General features: G+C 36.9%; 1 protein-coding gene and 1 pseudogene across 5 annotated transcripts in view; both read right to left on the reverse strand.

The window, feature by feature from the left end:
* The window catches only part of POTEB2 (POTE ankyrin domain family member B2), a 30943-nt gene extending 11581 nt beyond the window's left edge, over positions 1–19362 (reverse strand). Inside the window, exons 1-8 of one of the 5 annotated variants that reach the window (NM_001277303.1) lie at positions 18920–19362; positions 14423–14537; positions 14090–14263; positions 11159–11265; positions 9684–9821; positions 7105–7175; positions 1541–1611; positions 93–137 (exon numbers count right to left, since the gene is read on the reverse strand). In NM_001277303.1, coding sequence (NP_001264232.1) covers positions 93–137; positions 1541–1611; positions 7105–7175; positions 9684–9821; positions 11159–11265; positions 14090–14263; positions 14423–14537; positions 18920–19329 — 1131 coding nt within the window. In that variant the 5' untranslated portion in view covers positions 19330–19362. Of the gene's footprint in view, positions 1–92; positions 138–1540; positions 1612–4525; positions 4710–7104; positions 7176–9683; positions 9822–11158; positions 11266–14089; positions 14264–14422; positions 14538–18919 lie in introns of those variants that run through there. The other 4 variants (XM_006720354.4, XM_011543793.3, NR_102390.1 and 1 more) reach the window with 4 other exon arrangements.
* On the reverse strand, positions 8299–8405 carry RNU6-749P (RNA, U6 small nuclear 749, pseudogene; annotated as a pseudogene).
* Positions 19363–19565: the final 203 nt, after the last annotated feature.

The raw sequence follows: 19565 nt of genomic DNA on the forward strand, positions 1-19565 counted from the left end.
TAGGATCATGTATGCGTACACTTACTACACTTTGTTAAACAGCATAACATAAAAATCTAATTCCACAGAAACATTTGAACATAAAGGTATACCTCTCTATCACAGTCCTTATTTATTTCTGGTTCTTGAGACATTTTCTGCAGATGCAAAAATAGAAGGTTAATTTGCTTGTTGTATTTCCGTGTATGTCTCCTCTTTTGGAATGCATGTTAAAATAATTTTATTCTTAAGTAATCAAGTATGGACATGAAAAATTAGAAAATAAAATAAAATTTAACTGTTAAAATAATTAAATAAATAAATAATTAAAATTAAGAATTAACTTTTTAATCTATGTTTAGCTACTGCCACATCATTGGCTTCTGACTAACATGGGAAAATAATTCACCTTAGACAAAGGGAGAATAAAAACATGAACCAGCAAACTTAACTTTGTCACCATTTGTTTGGACTAAACTTAATTTGTTATGTGTTAAATCTACCAAAAATGAATTAGCAGATGATTTGTAGTGTTCCAAGGGCTTCCTCACTTGAAAAGAGTATATCTCATGAAACCCTAACTAGTGAGCCCCTATAGTGCACTGAAGTGCTTTTTAAAAAGATTCCTAATTGGATTGTAGGCACGCTTTAAATTATTAGGAGCTGAAATCAACACCAAACAGGAAGAAATGCAAATTCTTAAATTTTAATTGAAATTATATGCTGTAATATGATAGTGTTATGTATCTAGATGATCTGCTTAAGTCCAGTTCTAATATATTCTAAGGTGTACTAATTACAGTGGATAAAAATTTTTTAATAATCTGTACTGATTTTCTGCAACTAAAATAAGGTAGAAGGTTATTGTGTTTGTGCACTAACACCAAATGTCCCATTCTGCAAGATATGATTCTTGTAATAGGCAGTTGGGTTGCTTTTATGACCTGGTTCCCTCCCTGAACAGAAATGCTGAGGTCAGTGAGAGACCACAAGGCAGAATATGTCTTTAACCTTGGTATCTGTGACTGACAATATAAAACTGCAGATTTTCAATCACTGGCCGTGATTATTCTTTAACCATGAATCCAGCTCAGGGACCTTCAGTGTTACATTGTTCACAGTTCTATTGCTTAATAATATAATCCAATAATTGATGGTACTTTATCATGTTAGGGTGTTGTAAAAATAAAAGAACAAACAAAGGTCTGGAATATGTTTTTGCCTCTATTCCAAAAGGAAAGATTAGCTATAAGCTAATCAAAAAGGCAGATAAGAATATTTTAAATAAGAATACCATAAAATAAGAGTATTTTAAATTTTATAGTGGTTACGTTTTTAAGCTAAATATCAAATGTTAAGTTAGAATTTATTAATTCTTCTGTTAATGAGATTGCTGAATTTATTAAAATAAATTTTAAGAATCTATTAAAAAATTCTTAAAAAAAGAATCTATTGATTCTTAAAACCTAGTCTGAAAGGTAATTTCATTTGGACTATCTAATATTATTCAAGCAAAGAAAACAACGTTAAATCAAAAATTTAAACTTAAAATTTTCCATGCCTCTGGCTGGCTATTTTCACTGACTTTAAGCCTTTGTGACTCTTCCTCTGATGTCAGCTTTAAGTCTTGTTCTGTTGAGAAATCCATATATTCAGTTAAAATGAACCACTTAGAACAGTTAAAAACTATTGCCTTTATAAAAATAGATTGAAGACAACATTTTATTTTATTTCATAAACTGAGTGTTTAGTCTTTCATGAAATAGTTACTTAGGAAATAATTCTCCAAAACTTCAACAAACCACTTGGGGAGACACCTGATGTGATTCACTCACAAATTCATCCACCCAACATAAATGAACAAAACCACCAGAAACACAACTTCAAAATACAGTAGAAACATATAAGGTAACTCAGTATGTTGTTCACTTCCTAATAGTGAAGCAGTAAATGTAAAGAAAAGGAAATTTAGTTTTAAAGAGAAACAAGTTTTCCTGCACTTAGCTAGTCTGACTCTAAGGATAGTAACAAGCAGGCCCAGGAAAGGTCATGGTGACCCTGTCTGAGAAGCCAGAGCCCACAGGTATGGGCTCCAGACATCCCAGAGCAAGGTTAAGAAAACAAATTCCTTTACCATCTCCCCTCCCCCTCAGCATTTATTCATAGCTATTTTTACAAATGCATATATTTTGCAAATTCTTGTTTTCCTTCAATGCAGCTGCAAGGTCACAAGCTATGCAGTGGTTGCAAAACTGTCACTATATGATTAACTGCCTTTGTTCTGCTTCTATAAGTTTGCCTATATAAGCCAAGCCCTGTCTTTGTTCAGGGCTCAGCTTTTTGATGCAAATCCGCTGAGCTGGTGTGCACCTAAACAAAATCCTCTTGTTTGACCCACTGGGTCTCTCCTGCCTCCTCTTTTCTGCAAAAATAGTACCTTACAAACGATTTCCAAAATTACTACTGACACCTTTATTAGTGTACAATGTCTTCTTAACATCTAAAATGTTTCCATCCACTATTATGACAAATTTATTTTCATTTTTCTTTTTTTTTGTTTTAGCTGGGGTCTTGCTCTGTCACCAGGCTGGAGTGCAGTGGCACAATCTCAGCTCACTGCAACCTCTGACTCCCTGGTTCAAATGATTCTCCTGTCTCAGTCTCCTGAGAAGCTGTGATTACAGGCACACACCATCATGCCCAGCTAATTTTTGTATTTTTAGTAGAGATGGGGTTTCACCATTGGCCAGGATGGTCTTGATCTTTTGACCTTGTGATCCACCTGCTCCAGCCTCCCAAAATGCTGCAATTACAGGTGTGAGCCACCACACCCAGCCTTGTTTTCATCTTTTAAAACAATGCTATGGGAAGTCTTCCTTGATTCTGCAGATCTTTCCCCAGATAAACAGGTAACTCCTTCCTTGAGGTTGCCTTAGGACCTCACTGATTTTTCTACTGCACCTTTACCACCTGAACTGTACACTATTCCTCCACATGTCTGTCCCCTCTGCTCCAAGACTGCAGAGGACAGTCTTGCACATCATCTTTGTAAAAACAGTCTTTATTTTACTCAGAAATTTCTTATTGAGTCCTGCTACATACATGCTAGGTGTTAGGGTTTAAAAAGAATGAAAATAAAGCCTGTCAGGGATGGCTTTTCTAGAACACCTGCCCAAGCAGAGACTTAAATATTGAGGCTAGCTAGATTAAAAGTGGTAGAGGGCAAGAAAGGGTGACAGCATGCCACACAGCAGCAAGAGCAGGAGCGAGGCCTGAAAGAGTGAAAGTATTTGCCTGCAATAGAAGGAGGAGTGAGTAGGGCATTAAGAGCCACTCAGTAATGCCAGAGAAAGGGCACACAGGGAAAAGGGCTAAAGATGTAGAATAGGGCAGAAGTCAGATTATGAAAGCCTTATGTGTACCTTTAAGATGCTTAGACATTAACGTTCAAGAGTGGTCCCTGGTCCTATCTGTATTAAGATGTAGATCATTTTAATGCCAAAACCAATATTCCTAGTGAGCCATTATTCATTAAGACAAGGTGACAGCTAGCTCATGTGGACACAGCTGAGATGATACTATGTAGCAAATTCCCAATAATTCTCATGAACACTTGGAAAGTCAATTCTATAATAAGTCATAGAAATTATAATAAATCACTTAATATTTGTTTGGGAAGGTGCTTTATAAAGTTATAGTGTATATGAATATAACTAATAGTTGTGAATTCAGAGCTGTGAGAATAAAGCAAAAAAATCACACTGTGTTTGAGTCAGCAATCTTTAGATTTCTATCTAGTCTTCCTACCCAGTCCATAAATTCTAAGTATAATCCTAGTACTCGCTCTCAAGTTTAAGTTAAATGCTAGCCTATACAAAAAATACTCTTTCTCTTACTTCTTTTTTGTTATTTATATGTTGCTTTGTTTAAAGGAAGAACACAAAAATGCCCTGCTAAAGGGATTCTGTTTGGCTGCAGGCTGCAAGAGGGGAAAAACACAAAGCACATTTTGCAGAAAATGATTTTTTAGAAGTCAGAACTATGACATGAAGTCAAGCAGGGCACTCTAGGACTGACTTTGCTGTGCTTCCTTAATATGCTCCTTGCTCTCTTTCTTTTCTGGAAGCTGTGACTCACACAGGTCATGGAGAAAATTTCGTACTCCTTCCTCATTCCCAGCTTAAATACTAGTGTACAACGTGGAAACCTGTAAATTATCTGACATTTCTCTCTGTCCTCCAAACCTTTCTCATTCAATTATCACTAAATCATATTGACTATACCTCTCTTCTGCCTCTGCTTTATATTACCACTTCCACTGAGAACATAAACATTTACAAAATGGCTTTTATTACAAAAAAGCCTTCCAACTATTAATGTTATTTCTTACATGAAAAAAATTAAGCAAAACAAATGAAAAAAGCATAACACCAAAAAAAGGCCAACACATTAAAATGAGTAACGGGGATTCCAAACTTTATTTCACCATGGGCAGGTGAAAACCTTAGAATACATTGATAGTAGTCCAAGGATGTGTGACATGGAAACTATAGCTGACTACTGCAAAAGCTTCCTTTGTCTCCTGGTTTCTTTACATGGTTATCTTCCATCAATCCCAGCAAACTATAGGCCACAGGACAAATCCAATCTGCCTTTTGGCTTTGTAAATAAAGTTTTATAGGAGCTCAGTCATGCCTGTTTGCTTACATATAATCATGGTGGCTTTCACACTACAACAACAGACAACAGCCTGGTTAAGTAGATATGACAGAGACCACATAGTCTAAAATATTTCCCACCTGGTCCTTTACAGAAAAAGCTTGCTAACCCATTTTACACCATAAGCAGAATATGCCTTAATATTCAAATTTAATCTTGTAACTCCCCTGCTCAAATTTCTCCAATGAGCCCCTGCAGCACACATTGTTGGCTCCTATCAATAGCCATTCCTTATTCTTTCTTGCAGAAGAAACACAAGTCTATTGGGATATTTATTATCCCAATCCCCCTCCTCAGCCTCAGAAAGAGAAATGTTTATTCTAAGCTAATCATGTATTTGCCATCCCATTGCCTGGTTTGGGAATGAGCATGTGGTGTGACCCAGCCAATGAAATGTTACAGGAAGCCCCTTGCATGCTTCTAAGTTTTCTCCCTGTTTAAAAGACACATGTGAAGAAAAGCAGCCCTTGAAATGTTGTGTTGTGAGAACAAGATGTTTGGAGCTGCTGCGGATTAGCCAACCACGAAAGGAAACATGAAGAAAACACTGCCAACAGCACAGCTGAAAGAGGGAAAAATGGGATCCTAGGATATCACTGAACAACCAAAACAACTCTGGTTCCTACTGTTTTAGCCACTGCTCATCTAGTATTTACAGTCCAAAGCATTCTACCTGGTAAATTTCCCATGGCCCACAGGGTAAGACCTACTCATTTCTATAGTATTAAAAAAGTCTATCATAAACTTGCCTTAGCTAAGTATTCACCTCATTCCCAAACTCTGGTGTCTCACACTTTTGGTACTAGCAAAAGTGAACTGCTCAGAAACCCTGCAAAGTTCACTCGGCATCTTGTCTTTTGCAGTTGTTGCTCTTCCTGCCAAACAGGCAATCTCATCAGATGTTCTTCTGGCAAACACACAAACTTGTTGCAATTTCCTCCTGCCAAAAATTATTCTTCTGCTTCTTTACCTAGAAAAATTCTTCTCACTCTGCATGCTTACTTTGAATCATACCTACTTTTTTTCAAAACTTTCATTCCTCATCACGTATGTCTGGCACATAATTAATACATAATAAATCATAATTATAAGCTTCCAGTTGGCATCTAGCACACAGTAAGCACTGAATAAAGTAGTAAAATAATAAAAATGACAATGATAATAACAAGCTCCTGTCTGTATTTTTAATTGTGTGTGTTCTGTAGCATTAGAAAAATGATTAGTATCTAAAAGACATTTGATAGTTATTTGTTAAGTGGACAAGTGAAAACATAGAAATGTTTTCTTTGTAAATTCTGTTGAAAAAACACAGAAATGAAATAGAGACACCTCTATTATGAGCACCTTAAAGATCAAAACTACATCTATTCCATCTTTGTCTTCTGCAACTTATAAAACCTAACTTACAGAAGCTTTTTGATAAATAGATGGCTAAATTAAAGGTGTCCTCATCCAGTTTGGATTATACAATGTATTAGGTGTCCACAACCAGGTGGCATACTAGTATTTTTGTTAATGTGAAGCATTTTTCTACTTTTATTATAATCTGCTGAGCCTAGAGTTGGGCAATTTGTATATTTATTATGACAATCTTTTGGTAAATGGTAGCAGAGCATCTTGTTCTAACAAAATTACTGTTATCAAGACAATTGACCAGCAGGTAGAGAACACATCTTGTTCCAACAAAGTAAATGTATCTCTTTCCAACTTCAAATGAGGAGGAATGAAGTCAGTAAGAGTGAGACCTTGTTGGGACAAGGATATGTAACATGACTTGTGCTTTGGCGTTCTTTTGTGATCAAAAATTCCTTACTTTTATTTTTTTATCTATGGTAGGACCACCCAGAGCAGGGGTCCACAACTCCCAGGTCACAGACTGGTACCAGTCCATGGACTATTATGAACCACACCACACAGGAGGAGGTGAGCAGCAGGCAAACCAGGGAAGCTTCACCTGTACTTACAGCCACACCCCATGGCTCATATTACCGCCTGAACTCTGCCTCCAGTCAGATCAGTGATAGCACTAGATACTCATTGGAGCATGAACCCTATTGTGAACTGCTCATCTGAGGGATCTAGGTTGTGTGCTTCATATGAGAAACTAATGCCTGATGATCTGTCACTGTCTCACTTTGCCCCCAGATGAGACCATCTAGTTGCAGAAAAATAAGCTCAGAGTTTCCACGGATTCTACATTATGGTAAGTTGTATAATTATTTCATTATATATTACAATGTAATAATAATATAAAGTAGCACAATAAATGAAACATGGCTGAATAATCCTGAAACCATCCCCACCTTCCCCCAGCCCATGGAAAGACTGTCTTCCACAAAACCGGTCCCTGATGCCAAAAACATTGTGGACAACTGACCTAAAGTAATTCATTATCACAAGTCTTACCTGGATTGCTGTTTTCAGAAGAGATTTTTAGCATCTGTTTTTCTTTATAGTCAGAAAGTAATTCACAAATTCTATGTATAAAAATGTAATAAACCAAATTACTATTTTAATACTGATATAAAAAATACTTACCAAATGTAAAATTCTTAGAGTATTTCAAACAATATCATAATATCAGAATTTAACAGTATTATCCCATACACTTACGAGTACATTCTACAAACTTTTCTTTAAGCTTCTAATTAAAGAAGAAAAAAAATTAGGTGAAATGCTCATAAATCAAGGGCACTGTGACCCAGTAAATCAGCATGCATTAGCATGACATAATAGAAAGTGTCCCAACTCTGCATAAGTCCTAGCTCCATAATGAACAGCTATTTGTTCTTGGACAACTTTCTTCTCTTAGGCTCAATGTCTTCTTCTACAAAGTGAGGACTTTGCTGCCTTATTTCACTAGGTTGTTATAAAGATTTAACAAGGTAACATTTTTTAAATGCTCAGAGAAATAGTAAAGCAATGGAATAATCTGTTCCTAAACTTTATGACTAAAATTATCTTGGAATCCCAAATAAAACCCCATGTGTATTTTGTTCATAGGTTCTAATATGCAAATGCTGTAGTTTTCAGAAAATGTTATTAAGTCCTAATTTTGCTTCTTAGTTGTCCTACTCCTTATGGCTTATCATTCAGGGCATCTCAACTGTGTCATAGTTTGTAACTAAATTTTTTCATAAATCTCTCATTAAAGTAGATAATGTGATTGTCCACTATTACGGAGTTGACCAATTTGTTGTGCTAAGGGCAGAAAAACCAATGGATGTTAAGACCTGGCTTGGAGCAATGATCCTTCTCTACAGACTCAAACTCTGAGCCAGCAGATGTTTGTTAAGATAATGCTTTATGTTGATGTTCAATTCCAGCTGACATGGGAGACCAAAACTCTACTTTTATTTTTTTTCAGTTTTCATGAAGAAGCTGCAAATTGACATTCTCTAATTTTTGACGTACATACTTATAATATATTTTGCACTGAACACATTATTCAGCTCTAAATCATCTCACAGACCATCTTCCATGACTATTTTTGCAGCACAAATCACATTTCGATATTTTGGTGGCACCCATTTTGCTTTGATTCACACTGTTTCCTTAGAGCTAGTCAGCAAATAGTGAAATGATCTTCCAGTGACTGCACAAAATATGGAATGCTTCAAAGAGTTGTGCTGCCTCCTTATGCAGAAGCCGTGCTAACTTTCTCTGTATTGTTCCAATTTTAGGATATGTGCCGCCAAAGCAGGCACAAAGCCCTACTTTTACACATGATTTGTGATGAGTCATGGGCAAGGCTTGGCTCTTGTCCATGACTCATCACTACTTACTTAACCCACTTGAGATTCTGAGAATTCTCTTCAATGGCTTCCTGTGAGGTACAATTTGAAAATATTTTAAAATCTTGAGCTAGAGATGGAAGTAGCTTGGACGATTTTCATTATCATGTAAATCAGATCACTCAAGGGGCCAACCACAGCTGGGAGCCACTGCTTGGGGAAGGCTCATATGGGACTTTCTACTGCCTAAGGTTCTACACAGGATATAAAGGTGCCTCACAGTGTAGATCTGGTAGCAAAGAAGAAGAAACAAACACTGATCTCTTTCTGCCACATTATTTGAACCCCTCTGACCCTTTATAACAAGCCCACCTCATATCTGCTAGAGAAAAGACCAACAACGGCCTGAAAGGATCTCTTACCATGAAGGTCTCAGCTAATTCTTAGCTAAGATGTGGGTTCCACATTAGGTTCTGAATACAGGAGGAAGGGTCAATTTGCTCACTTTGTGTGCGGATAAAGTCAGGATGCCCAGCGGCCAGAGCAGGGTGCTGGTGCTTTGGGAACAATGGCTGAGCATATAAGCATAGGTAAGGGAACTAAAAAATGTTGTAACTTCAAAGTCACTGTGTGAATCCCCATGAAGACTTGAGGGATCTGAATCAGTAAGGGCACCTTGGTGTCAAAGGTCAACAATTACCAGGCAGCAGAAGCAGTTTGAGTGGCAACAATGCAGCAACAGAAACAATGGAAACAACAGAATGATTGGAATGTCCTTTTTTCTCTCCTCCTTCTGACTTGATAAAAGGGACTGTCTTCCTTGGATTTAGTGAACCCCTTTGGTTCTTGAAAAATTCAAGGAGTATGTAGGAGACAGTCCCCAGAAGACAGTACAAGGCTTTCTGCTAAACTGGACATTTCAAGACCCAAATAACTAATCAGAAAAATCAAAGATGTGATACTCTTTTTTATGCCATGCATAGGTGTTATACTTGGATGAAATGAACAATATTGGGATCTCTAAGGATAAAGGTCTTAAAAGTCCTGAGGTAAAGAATCCTGCACCCATTGGTACTTCTAACTTGTCTTGCTTTTTGTCTGATTTCTGGCTGATGCAGGGGACTAACTCACTGCCACTCTAAAACTACCTGAACCAAACTATGACATCTCACCTGATATGTAAGATGCAATTGTTATAATTATTTTAAACCTCAATTTAGCATTAACTAGCCTTTTCATGTAAACACTTACACATGATGATGACTAGAAACAGCATACTCTCTGGCTGTCTGTCCAGATAGATCTTGAGAAGATACATCAACATTTTGCTCAAGTAGAAGATTGACTATACTTGCTGATCCACAACATACAGCAAGTATGAGGGCAGTTCTAAAATTACAGAGATAATTTCTCCTTTAGGAACTGTAATAAAGTTATTTTAAAAGCTAATTTGATATACTTTACCAATTTGACATCTTGCCTGTCCATGCAGAATCAAACATTTACATGCGCTAAAAGACATAAGCATCTTGGGTGCTCAAGAGTTCATCTTTGTAAAATACCACCAAGGTTAAAAGGAAGGGACAAAAAGGAAACCTCTTATCTCAGTGGGGTATTGCATAGCAGAAGCTACTAATTTAAAGTCCTTTGATGGGCAAGAAACAATGCTAGGGCCACTTATCTGAAGTGGACAAAGATTTAAGTGAAGATTTTGTCACAGCTTCCCTAGACTGATATGCTGTAATAGAAAATTAGCTAGGGGCTAAGATAAATAAGAGCTCTCTGCATGCTGAAAGCAGTAATATTAATAATAATGGTAAGAATAGTAGTCACAGGAGTTTCAGTTAATGATGCCAATAAGCATGTGCTATGCACTGAATTAAATGCCACATGTACCTTTCTTGCTTATGCACAGCCAACTTTGAAGGATATATTCTCCTACTTTTCACATATGACAACATATTGGGTGGTAAATCACGTTCCCAATGTCACACACGTAGCAAGTAAGAAAGTTAGGAATTAAACCCAGTCTTGTGTGAATCCAAAGCGTAGCTCTTTTCTCTTTATCACCCACCTACAGCTTGCCTTCATTAAAGGAAAAGTGTATCCACTTAAAACTATCTTCACTCCCTCTCTCCATACCAACTAAAAATAAAAACATCAAAATACACTGGAAATAAAAAAGGAAAAAAGCTGTTGAACCCACAGTATGTGGGAATAGCAATTAATTGTCATGTAGGGATAAGCTAACATTAATATTCTTCAAAGAAAGCAACTTAAAGCAGAGTCATTGAAAAGACAAAAGGATTTTCAACTCCTATTTATGTTTAATACAGCATATTTAGTGGAAAAGCATATAAGATACAGAGGTTAAAACCTACTAGAAAGGGTTAAAAAGTTCAATACTGAGTCATAAAGTAAACTGAAAGTTAAAGTTCAAACTTCATAAAATTAATATGAAATCCCTTTAGCTAACATAAGATCATGTAACCAAAAACATCATACAACAAATAACATCAGTCAATATAATAAGAGAAGATGAATCCTACTAAAACAGTTCTTTATGTTGCCCAGTCCAAATAATTGCTTTTCTACTTAACTGATTTGTGTTGATACTGATCACTATGTCCCAATAAGTATAATTTGATCTTATTAATTTATTATTTATGACTTGAGTGACTGCTATCAATCTAGAACAACACACAGATTAAAAGAAATAACCATACCTTCCATATCTATCAAGTGCATTTAAATTAGCTTTTTTCTTGATTAAAAATTTCACCACTTCCTGTTTTTGTTCATGTACGCCAAGCAAAAGTGGTGTGAGGCCACACTGTAAAACAATATAAAACAAAAACAATATGTAATTCAAAAAATTATGTATCTCTCAACTGAACTAGAAGCTTATGGACTTACACTCACAGAAAGTAAATAAAATTTGGTCGCTTCCTTCTCACTCTTCTGTACTTTCCCACATGCCACTCCTTCCCTTGGAAACATCCCTTCTCTGCCTCACCACATTAAATCTGATCATCTCAAAAACTCACTTTAAACATTTACTGTTTCCAAGACTCTTTGTTTCTAAATGAGCATTTGGCATGGCACTTTTGGATGATTTTTTTTTTCATTTAAACAAAAAGCTTCTTGAGGGCAGGGGCTGTATCTTTTATCTCTATTATTATCCAATCCTAAGACAAAATTGTTGTGTATAAAGCAAGAATTTGAATGTAAAATATTTCTTTAGTTTCACATGTTTTACCAAAGTTCAAGCTCCAACATGCAATAAATATTGCTATTAATACTCACACTGCCCATTTCAAGAATTTTTTCCAACATTTATTCATTTAAAATCTATTTGTATTTAATTTTTCCAGATTGTTAACTAGATAGATAATCAGTTCATAGGATTACTGAAACTAAGAGATTTCCTATCTGTATTCTTAATAACTCCATGGTTTTGAGTGTTTAAACCTGCCATCCTGATTAAGCCAAAGCTCTACAAACTTAAGAGACATACTGGATAGCCCACAATATAGCTTCAATTGACAAAAAAGGTTTAGAATTTGCTACAATTCTGAGAAAACTCTGCTCTTAAAAACGACTTACTGACCTAAGCACTTGAATGATTGAACAAAGGGACACAAAGTCCTGAGAGAGCCATCCTCTACTTATTGGAAGACTACTCACTGCAAATTTCTAAAGACCTTCTGAATGGCAGTGAATAACTGATGGTAGAAAGGAAAAGGTATTATTCTGTAAGCTGATAGATAGTGCCAATAATATTTATTTTAATGTCCCAACGACAGAGATAAGTCAGACTAGGCCAGGAATGGTGGCTCACACCTGTAATCTTAGCATTTTGGGAGCCTGAGGTGGGTGATTCACTTGAGCCCAGGAGTTCAAGATCAGCCTGAGAAACATGGCAAAAACCTCATCTCTACTAAAAAAAAAAAAATACAAAAACAGATTGGAGGACCACCAGAGCTTAGGGACGTCAAGGCTGTGGTGATCTGTGACCGCACCACTGCACTCCAGCCTGGGGAACAGAGTGAGACCCCATCTCAAAAACAAACAAACAAAAATTTAGATTAATGTTATTGGAAAGGAAAGATTTAAAGGAATTAGCACATATCCAACTCCAACTCTTCTAGAAATATCTGAAGTTTCTGAGATATAAGAATTTACATATTACACTTATGTATTCAGTGGTTAAGCAGGAGTGTATCCGGATTTTGAGAAATTTGTTGTTGTTGTTGTTAGAGACAGGGTCTCATTATGTTGACCAGGCTAGACTAGAACTCCTAAGCTCAGGCAATCCTCCCACCTCAGCCTCCCTAGCAGCTGGGACTACAGCCATGCACCACCATGCCTGGCTTCAAGGAAACATTTTTAAACATACATATCCAGGCTTTATTAGACTTACTCTATCAAAATCTTCAGGGGAAAACCTAGACTTGAAGATTATTTAAAAATTTTCCTGAAGTAACTGGAATGCACAACTCTAGCTGGAAGCTAGTGCAATAGACAATTATTTCAGTCTCATCTCTCATCACATAAACAATTCCCTTTATCATTTGAGGATTTGGCCAAAAAGAGGAAAGAGTAGGAGAGAGACTCATTTGCTGAAAACACCACAAAATTTTCCCCGGTAAGAGTAGAACAAGGTCTAGTAAACTCAAAATCCAACCTGATCTTTTTACTTATAAGCCCCTTATCTCCCACCTTCCCATCAAGACATTCTAGAATTGAAAGCAGAGTTGAGACTCTAATTGGCCATTTCTACCAGAATAGGATACTAATTTGGTTAATTACTTGTTATTCCTTCTACTCAAGGGTTTCCCACTACATTACCACATATTCACTGCCAGTCTGGTTCCTCAGAGGCCTCCTAAAATTGATCTCTAGGCAGTTTACAACCCACTAACTCCCTCTCCCAAACTGAAAACTGTCATTCTCTAAAATGGAAAAGAACCCTGTCTCACCATATAAAGGAAACAAATGAATGAACAACAATAACAACACACACACACACACACACACACACACACACACACAAACAAAAACAAAAACAAAAACAAAAAAAAACCTCTTCATGGTCTTTTCCCCCATTACCTAATTTCCAAGTTGGCCTTGGTATTTCTGATTGCTGCATTTTTCCCTTTCCAATTCTGCCTCATGAGCAATCAGAAATATCTTAAGCCTTGCCACTGAGAGATACATCACCTCATATCTATTAGTGTTTTTTTAGGAATTTGCCAAAGTAGCAGGATTACTATTCACTGAAACATGTTTAAGTTTTCTTGGAGTTTTAATGTAAAACCTATTTCCAGGGCAAATTTTGTCATTTTACATTTGTTAGGGAAAAAAAAACTTGGCAGGGAAAAATTGAAAAAAAAAAAAGTATTACCTTTTACAAATTCAGTGTTTTTTTTTTTTAAAAAGCATTAACCACAAGTGCACTGAAAAAAACTGTACCCTCTAATGCTTCTTTAAAAGTAACAATATTTAAAATAAAGTCTTAGATAATTAAGTCATTTCAAAATATTTTCATTCAGGTTATGCTTGAGCTTCCAAATACGGAAAACTGGCCCTTACACAGGTCAATGTTAACACGAATGCATTTCAGTATTTTGAAGATAAAATTGGTAGATCTATACCTTGTTTTTTGATTCAATATCAGCACCATATAAGAGCAGTGCTTTGGCCATTAATTTATCTTCATTGTAGATAGCATAGTGTAGAGCGGTATTTCCATACTCATCTTGAATATTTCCATCAGCGCCATGTTCCAGCAACATTAACACACATTCATCTTCCTGGCATTGTACGGCCTGTCAGTATTAGACCAAAAACAAATTATAAGTCCTAGGAATTCAAAATAACATTCCACAGCTTTCACCAACTAGTTATATTTAAATGAGAAAACTCATTTTTATGCTATCTATTGAAATCAAACCCATCTCACGCTGATATAGTTGACTACTGCATACCTTTATCAGAGCTGTCCTTTTTTTGTTGTCAAGGACGTTAAGTTGACATCGTCTGTCCAGCAGGAGTTGTACTACTTCTGAATTTCCATTGGCAGAGGCCAAATGTAGAGCAGTCCTATGAGAGTGAGAAGACTTCAGGAAATTGTAGTGCACTAGCTAATGCCACATTAATGATTCATGTAGTTGCAAACACTGAATAGCCTATTACTCTGCCTTCAAAACAAACTCAATTTTCCTTTGAAGAAAGCACACTACTTATTACCTCTCATTAGTCACTGTATTAATGAAAGAGCAGCCTATTTGAATAGAAAGAGCATAGCTCTTGGATGACATTCAACTTGGGCTGGAATCCTACTTGAAGCTCTGTCGCTTCCTAGCTGTTGCTTAGCCTTTTTGTGTCTCAATTTCCTCATCAATAAAATGGGAATGAAAATAGTCAGTTTCTCAGAGGAAACCACTGTAATGCTTAAATAAGACTCTACACAAAATATAGAATAGTTCCTAACACAAATAACAGCTCAAAAATTGTAAGATATTATAATTTTTACTAATACCACTAAAGACAACATTTGAATTAAGTGAAACGATACAATTATACCTACACTTTCAGGTACATTTTAAAGATTACAGGTAGCGTTGTACTGTATTTTATTGAGTCTAAGATGATCATTGTCTCCATGTTTTAACATTTCTTACACTGAAATACCACTTATTAATTCATGATTTACTATAATTATAATTGGCAGCATTTAAATAATTTTCTTAGTGAGACATAAAATAATGGGGCATCATACAATCCCTGGTGCCTTACATTAAGTAGAATATGTTATAATATAACAGGTCTGGGGCAGTTCCAGTCAGATGACTAGCATTTAGATAAATTTTAGTTCTTAAAAGAACTATGGAATAAGAGGGCTGAGGTGAAAACAAAAACAATTTTCTAAAATAATCTATTTCTTACTTTGGTTTTCAAAAACTTTAAGCCAAAGAAATCTTGAAATTCAAATGAATAGCATGGGCTCATTTTTTTCAATACTTAGATTTATACAACGTATGTACATCAGATATTTCCAATCATTCATATTAGGATTTAAGACTGTTATAAATTTTCTCTTTTTAAAATGGATTTATGAAACTATTTGTGGAGCTTTTTTCAACTTTTACATTCGGGGATACAGGTGCAGGATGTGCAGGTTGGTTAACATAGGTAAACGTGTTCCAAGGGGGTTGGCTGTACAGATTATTTCATTACTCAGGTGTTAAGCCTAGTACCCGTTAGTTCTATTTCCTGCTTCTTTCCTTCCTCCCACCCTCCACCCTCTGATAGGCCCCAGTGTGTGTTGCTTCCCTCTAGGTGTCTGTGTGTTCTCCTCATTTAGCTCCCACCTATAAGTGAGACCATGCAGTATTTGGTTTTCTCTTCCTATGTTAGTTTGCTAAGGATAATGGCCTTCAACACCATCCATGTCCCTGCAAAGGACAGGCTCTTGTTCTTTCTTTTGTGGCTACATAGTATTCCATGCTGTTTATGTACCACATTTAAGTTCTTAAAACAGCTAAAACAGTGTTTACCCAAGTCTTATACATTTTCAAAAGGGCAGTTAAGGGTTATCTTTTACTATTTTCCACCTTCAGAAGTGCTTTTGTTTGAAAGGAGGGAGGAAAAGCTTCAATTGAGATTAAGTCCTAATGCCCCAATTTTGATTCTCTCAGCTTGCTCAGGCGCAGCAGGTAAACATGAAGTTTTCAAAGGTGGAAGGATCCTGAGAGATAGCAGAATATGCTTGCCATATAATAGGTGTCTGGCTTATGTTTGATGACTAAACGGATTGAAAGAATGGATAAACATAGGTTGGAAGTTCAATATTTTTAAAAGAAAACTCCTGTTGAGTAGAGCAATACATTTGCGATAGTAACAATCATTTATATTTGCTATTTTAGTTTTCATAAATATATAACTAAACTAAAATAATTAATCCATACTATTTACACATCAATCTATATATAATAAGATGTATACACAATAAAATCTACCAGAAGAGGTAAACAGAAGCCCTCTACTTCTGAAGAGGGTAAAAGTTCACAGAAGATAGCCATCCACAGGTATAAAAATAAATAATAGAATGTAAGAAATTATTTGTATCTATGCAAGTAGCATATTCCTTCTCTTCCCAAGGATTATTTCATTACTAATGAAACTTAACTAAAACTTTGCAGATGTTCATTGCAGAAATCACAGATAAGAGAAAGGGAAAAACTTCACTTACAAATCCCCAGAAATAAGTTTGATTATATTTTCCACATATTTCCAGCTAACACAAGAGCAGATTCTATTTGTGTATATGTATAACAAACTGATTTTTTCTCACTTGATACAGCAAAGTACATCTCTGCATGCCGACATATCTCTGTATCTACTGACACCCTCAATGGTTACATATTATTCCATCCTATGGATGCACTGAAATTTGTTCATAAAATCTTTATATGAGTTCTTCTCAATACATGGCTATTTTAAGCAATACTAAGAAAAACAGCTGTGTCTGTTTCATATAGATATTTCGGTATAATGGAACAGATGGGTAAAAGGCATACACATTTTAAAAATGTGGTTCTTACCATCAAAGTGTCTATTTGAAAAGTCGCAGCAACTTAAACTTTCAGCAGGTATATAAGTACCACTGTTCTTCACCCTCACAAACTTTGTGGACACAAAACAGTATTTCATTCCTTTATATTTATTTATTTATTTTTATTTATTTATTTTTTTGAGATGGAGTCTCACTCCATCACCCAGGCTGGAGTGTAGTGGTGCAATCTCAGCTCACTGCAACCTCTGTCTCCCTGGTTCAAGCAATTCTCCTGCCTCAGCCTCCTGAGTAGCTAGGATTACAGGTGCATGCCACCATGCCCAGCTAATTCTTTGTATTTTTAGTAGAAACGGGTTTCACCATGCTGGCCAGGCTAGTATCAAACTCCTGACCTCGTGATCCACCTGCCTTGGCCTCCCAAAGTGCTGGGATTACAGGCATGAGCCACCATGGCTGGCCTTTCATTCCTCTTCTAACTTAAACAGAAAATAGTCTTTCATTCCTCTTCTAACTTAAATTCCTTCTCTTAGCAGGAATGCTATGTTTTCCTATGTACACAGGTCACTGGTAGACATGCAAAAAAGTACCTTGCCCAATTTTAAATTGAGCTTATTTTATTATATCTGCATATATATGCCGGTTTCAGTGGCTCATGACTGTAATCTCAGCACTTTGGGAGGCTGAGGTGGGTGGATCACAAGGACAGGAGTTCAAGACCAGCCTGGCAAAGATGGTGAAATCCCGTCTTGATTAAGAACACAAAAAATTAGCCAGGCATGGTGGTGGGTGCCTGTAATCCCAGCTACTTGGTAGGCTGAGGCAAAGAATTACTTGAACCAGGAACCAGAGGTTGTAGTGAGCTGATATTGCACCACTGCACTCCAGCCTGGGCTATGGAGTGAGAGTCTGTCTCAGAAAAATAAATAAATATTTGCACATATAAATAGGCATTTGTGTTTTCTTCTGGTACTTTTCTCCTTTTGTATCTTTAAAATTTTTAATCTATACTCCAGGAACTTATTTTTGTGACATAAAAATCTAGGTAGTTTTCTCCAAACAGCATGCATTTAATTTATGAATAATTCACCTTGTTTTACCAATATGAAACATCACCATTATCAAGTGCTAAATTCTTACATATATTTGGGTATTTCTGGATTTCCTATTCTGTTCTGTTCACTTATGTCTTTTCAGCTGTTAGTAAACAATTTGTGGAAATAACACACGCACATTTTGATATCTGGAAAAGCAAGTCTTTTTCCATTCTGTTACAAAAAATCAATTTATCACAATGATAAAATACATCATGTGCAATTTAAAGACACTAAGACTTTGCTATTTTTATTTGGCTTATGTAAAAGTGATAAACACAGAAAAAGCTCACATCTTAAGAAAAACGAACCTTCCTATTCAAAGATATGAACCATACTTCCCATTTCAGTTTCCTTTTAAGGTTACTCAGTAAAGAACGTGTTTACATAGGGTACACATCGATATAAAATCCATATTGGATTTTATTTGAAAAATATTTAGCCCAGAAGTTGATATATTATGGGACTTAGTTCTCAATATACACCTTTCTATAGTGTATAGAACATTGTTTTAAAATGTGTACATTAAAAATAATCTGCTGCATCGACTTAATTTTGCGAGTTAAATCACTTTAAAACCGTCTATTAGTGTTCTATAAGGGAAATTATAATTGGATTGGAAATCAGCTAAAGTTTTGTTTTTGTGTTGCTGTTTATAAAGGGACCTGGGCCCTGACATCTCTGAGGTTTCCACACCCAGGGTGGTGTGGGGCCTGCGGAGGAAGAGAAAGCCTGGCTCCTCCCTCCCTGCGCCAGGAGGGTATGTCCCCATCATCCCCCCATGTCCCGCCTCCTCCCATCCCAGGCCCGGTTACCTCTTTTGCTTGTCCCTCTTGTTCATGTCAGTGTCCCTGAGCATGACGATGAGATCCTTTCTGGGGACTTTACCCCACCAGGCAGCTCTGTGGAGCTTGTCCAGATCTTCTCGACGGACGTGGTACCTCGGCTCCATGAAGGCGCTGTCGTCGTAGTCTCCCCAAGTGCCCACGTTGCTCTTGCCGCTCCCCCTGCAGCAGGGGAAGCAGTGACAGCACCACTTGCCCATCTTGCTCCTGAGTGTCTTCATAAAGGAGTCGTCATGGTCTCCAGAAGTGCCCACATTGCTCGTGCCGCTCCCCCTGCAGCAGGGGAAGCGGTGGTGGCACCACTTGCCCATCTTGCTCCTGAGATCAAATGGCTTCTTCACAGCAGAGGCAGCGGGCATTGAACAAACCTCAGCCACCATCTGCTTTTAACAGCCAGGGGAGGCCGGTAGTAGCGAACAGATCGCGTCTACCAACCAGTTTCACCAACTAGCAGGAAACCCTGGGTTTCCAATCTGTTTGAAGAGAAAGGTCAATCCCAGCCAAAACTTGCCAACCCCAGCAAGGGAGCCCAGCCCACCCCACCCAGGGAAAACCCACACCCACCCGGGGAAAGCCCACGCCCACCAGGGGGACCCCACGCCCACCCCAGGAAAGG

This window comes from Homo sapiens, chromosome 15 (assembly GCF_000001405.40).
Source record: "Homo sapiens chromosome 15, GRCh38.p14 Primary Assembly".
In the NCBI taxonomy this organism is placed as follows: domain Eukaryota; kingdom Metazoa; phylum Chordata; class Mammalia; order Primates; family Hominidae; genus Homo; species Homo sapiens.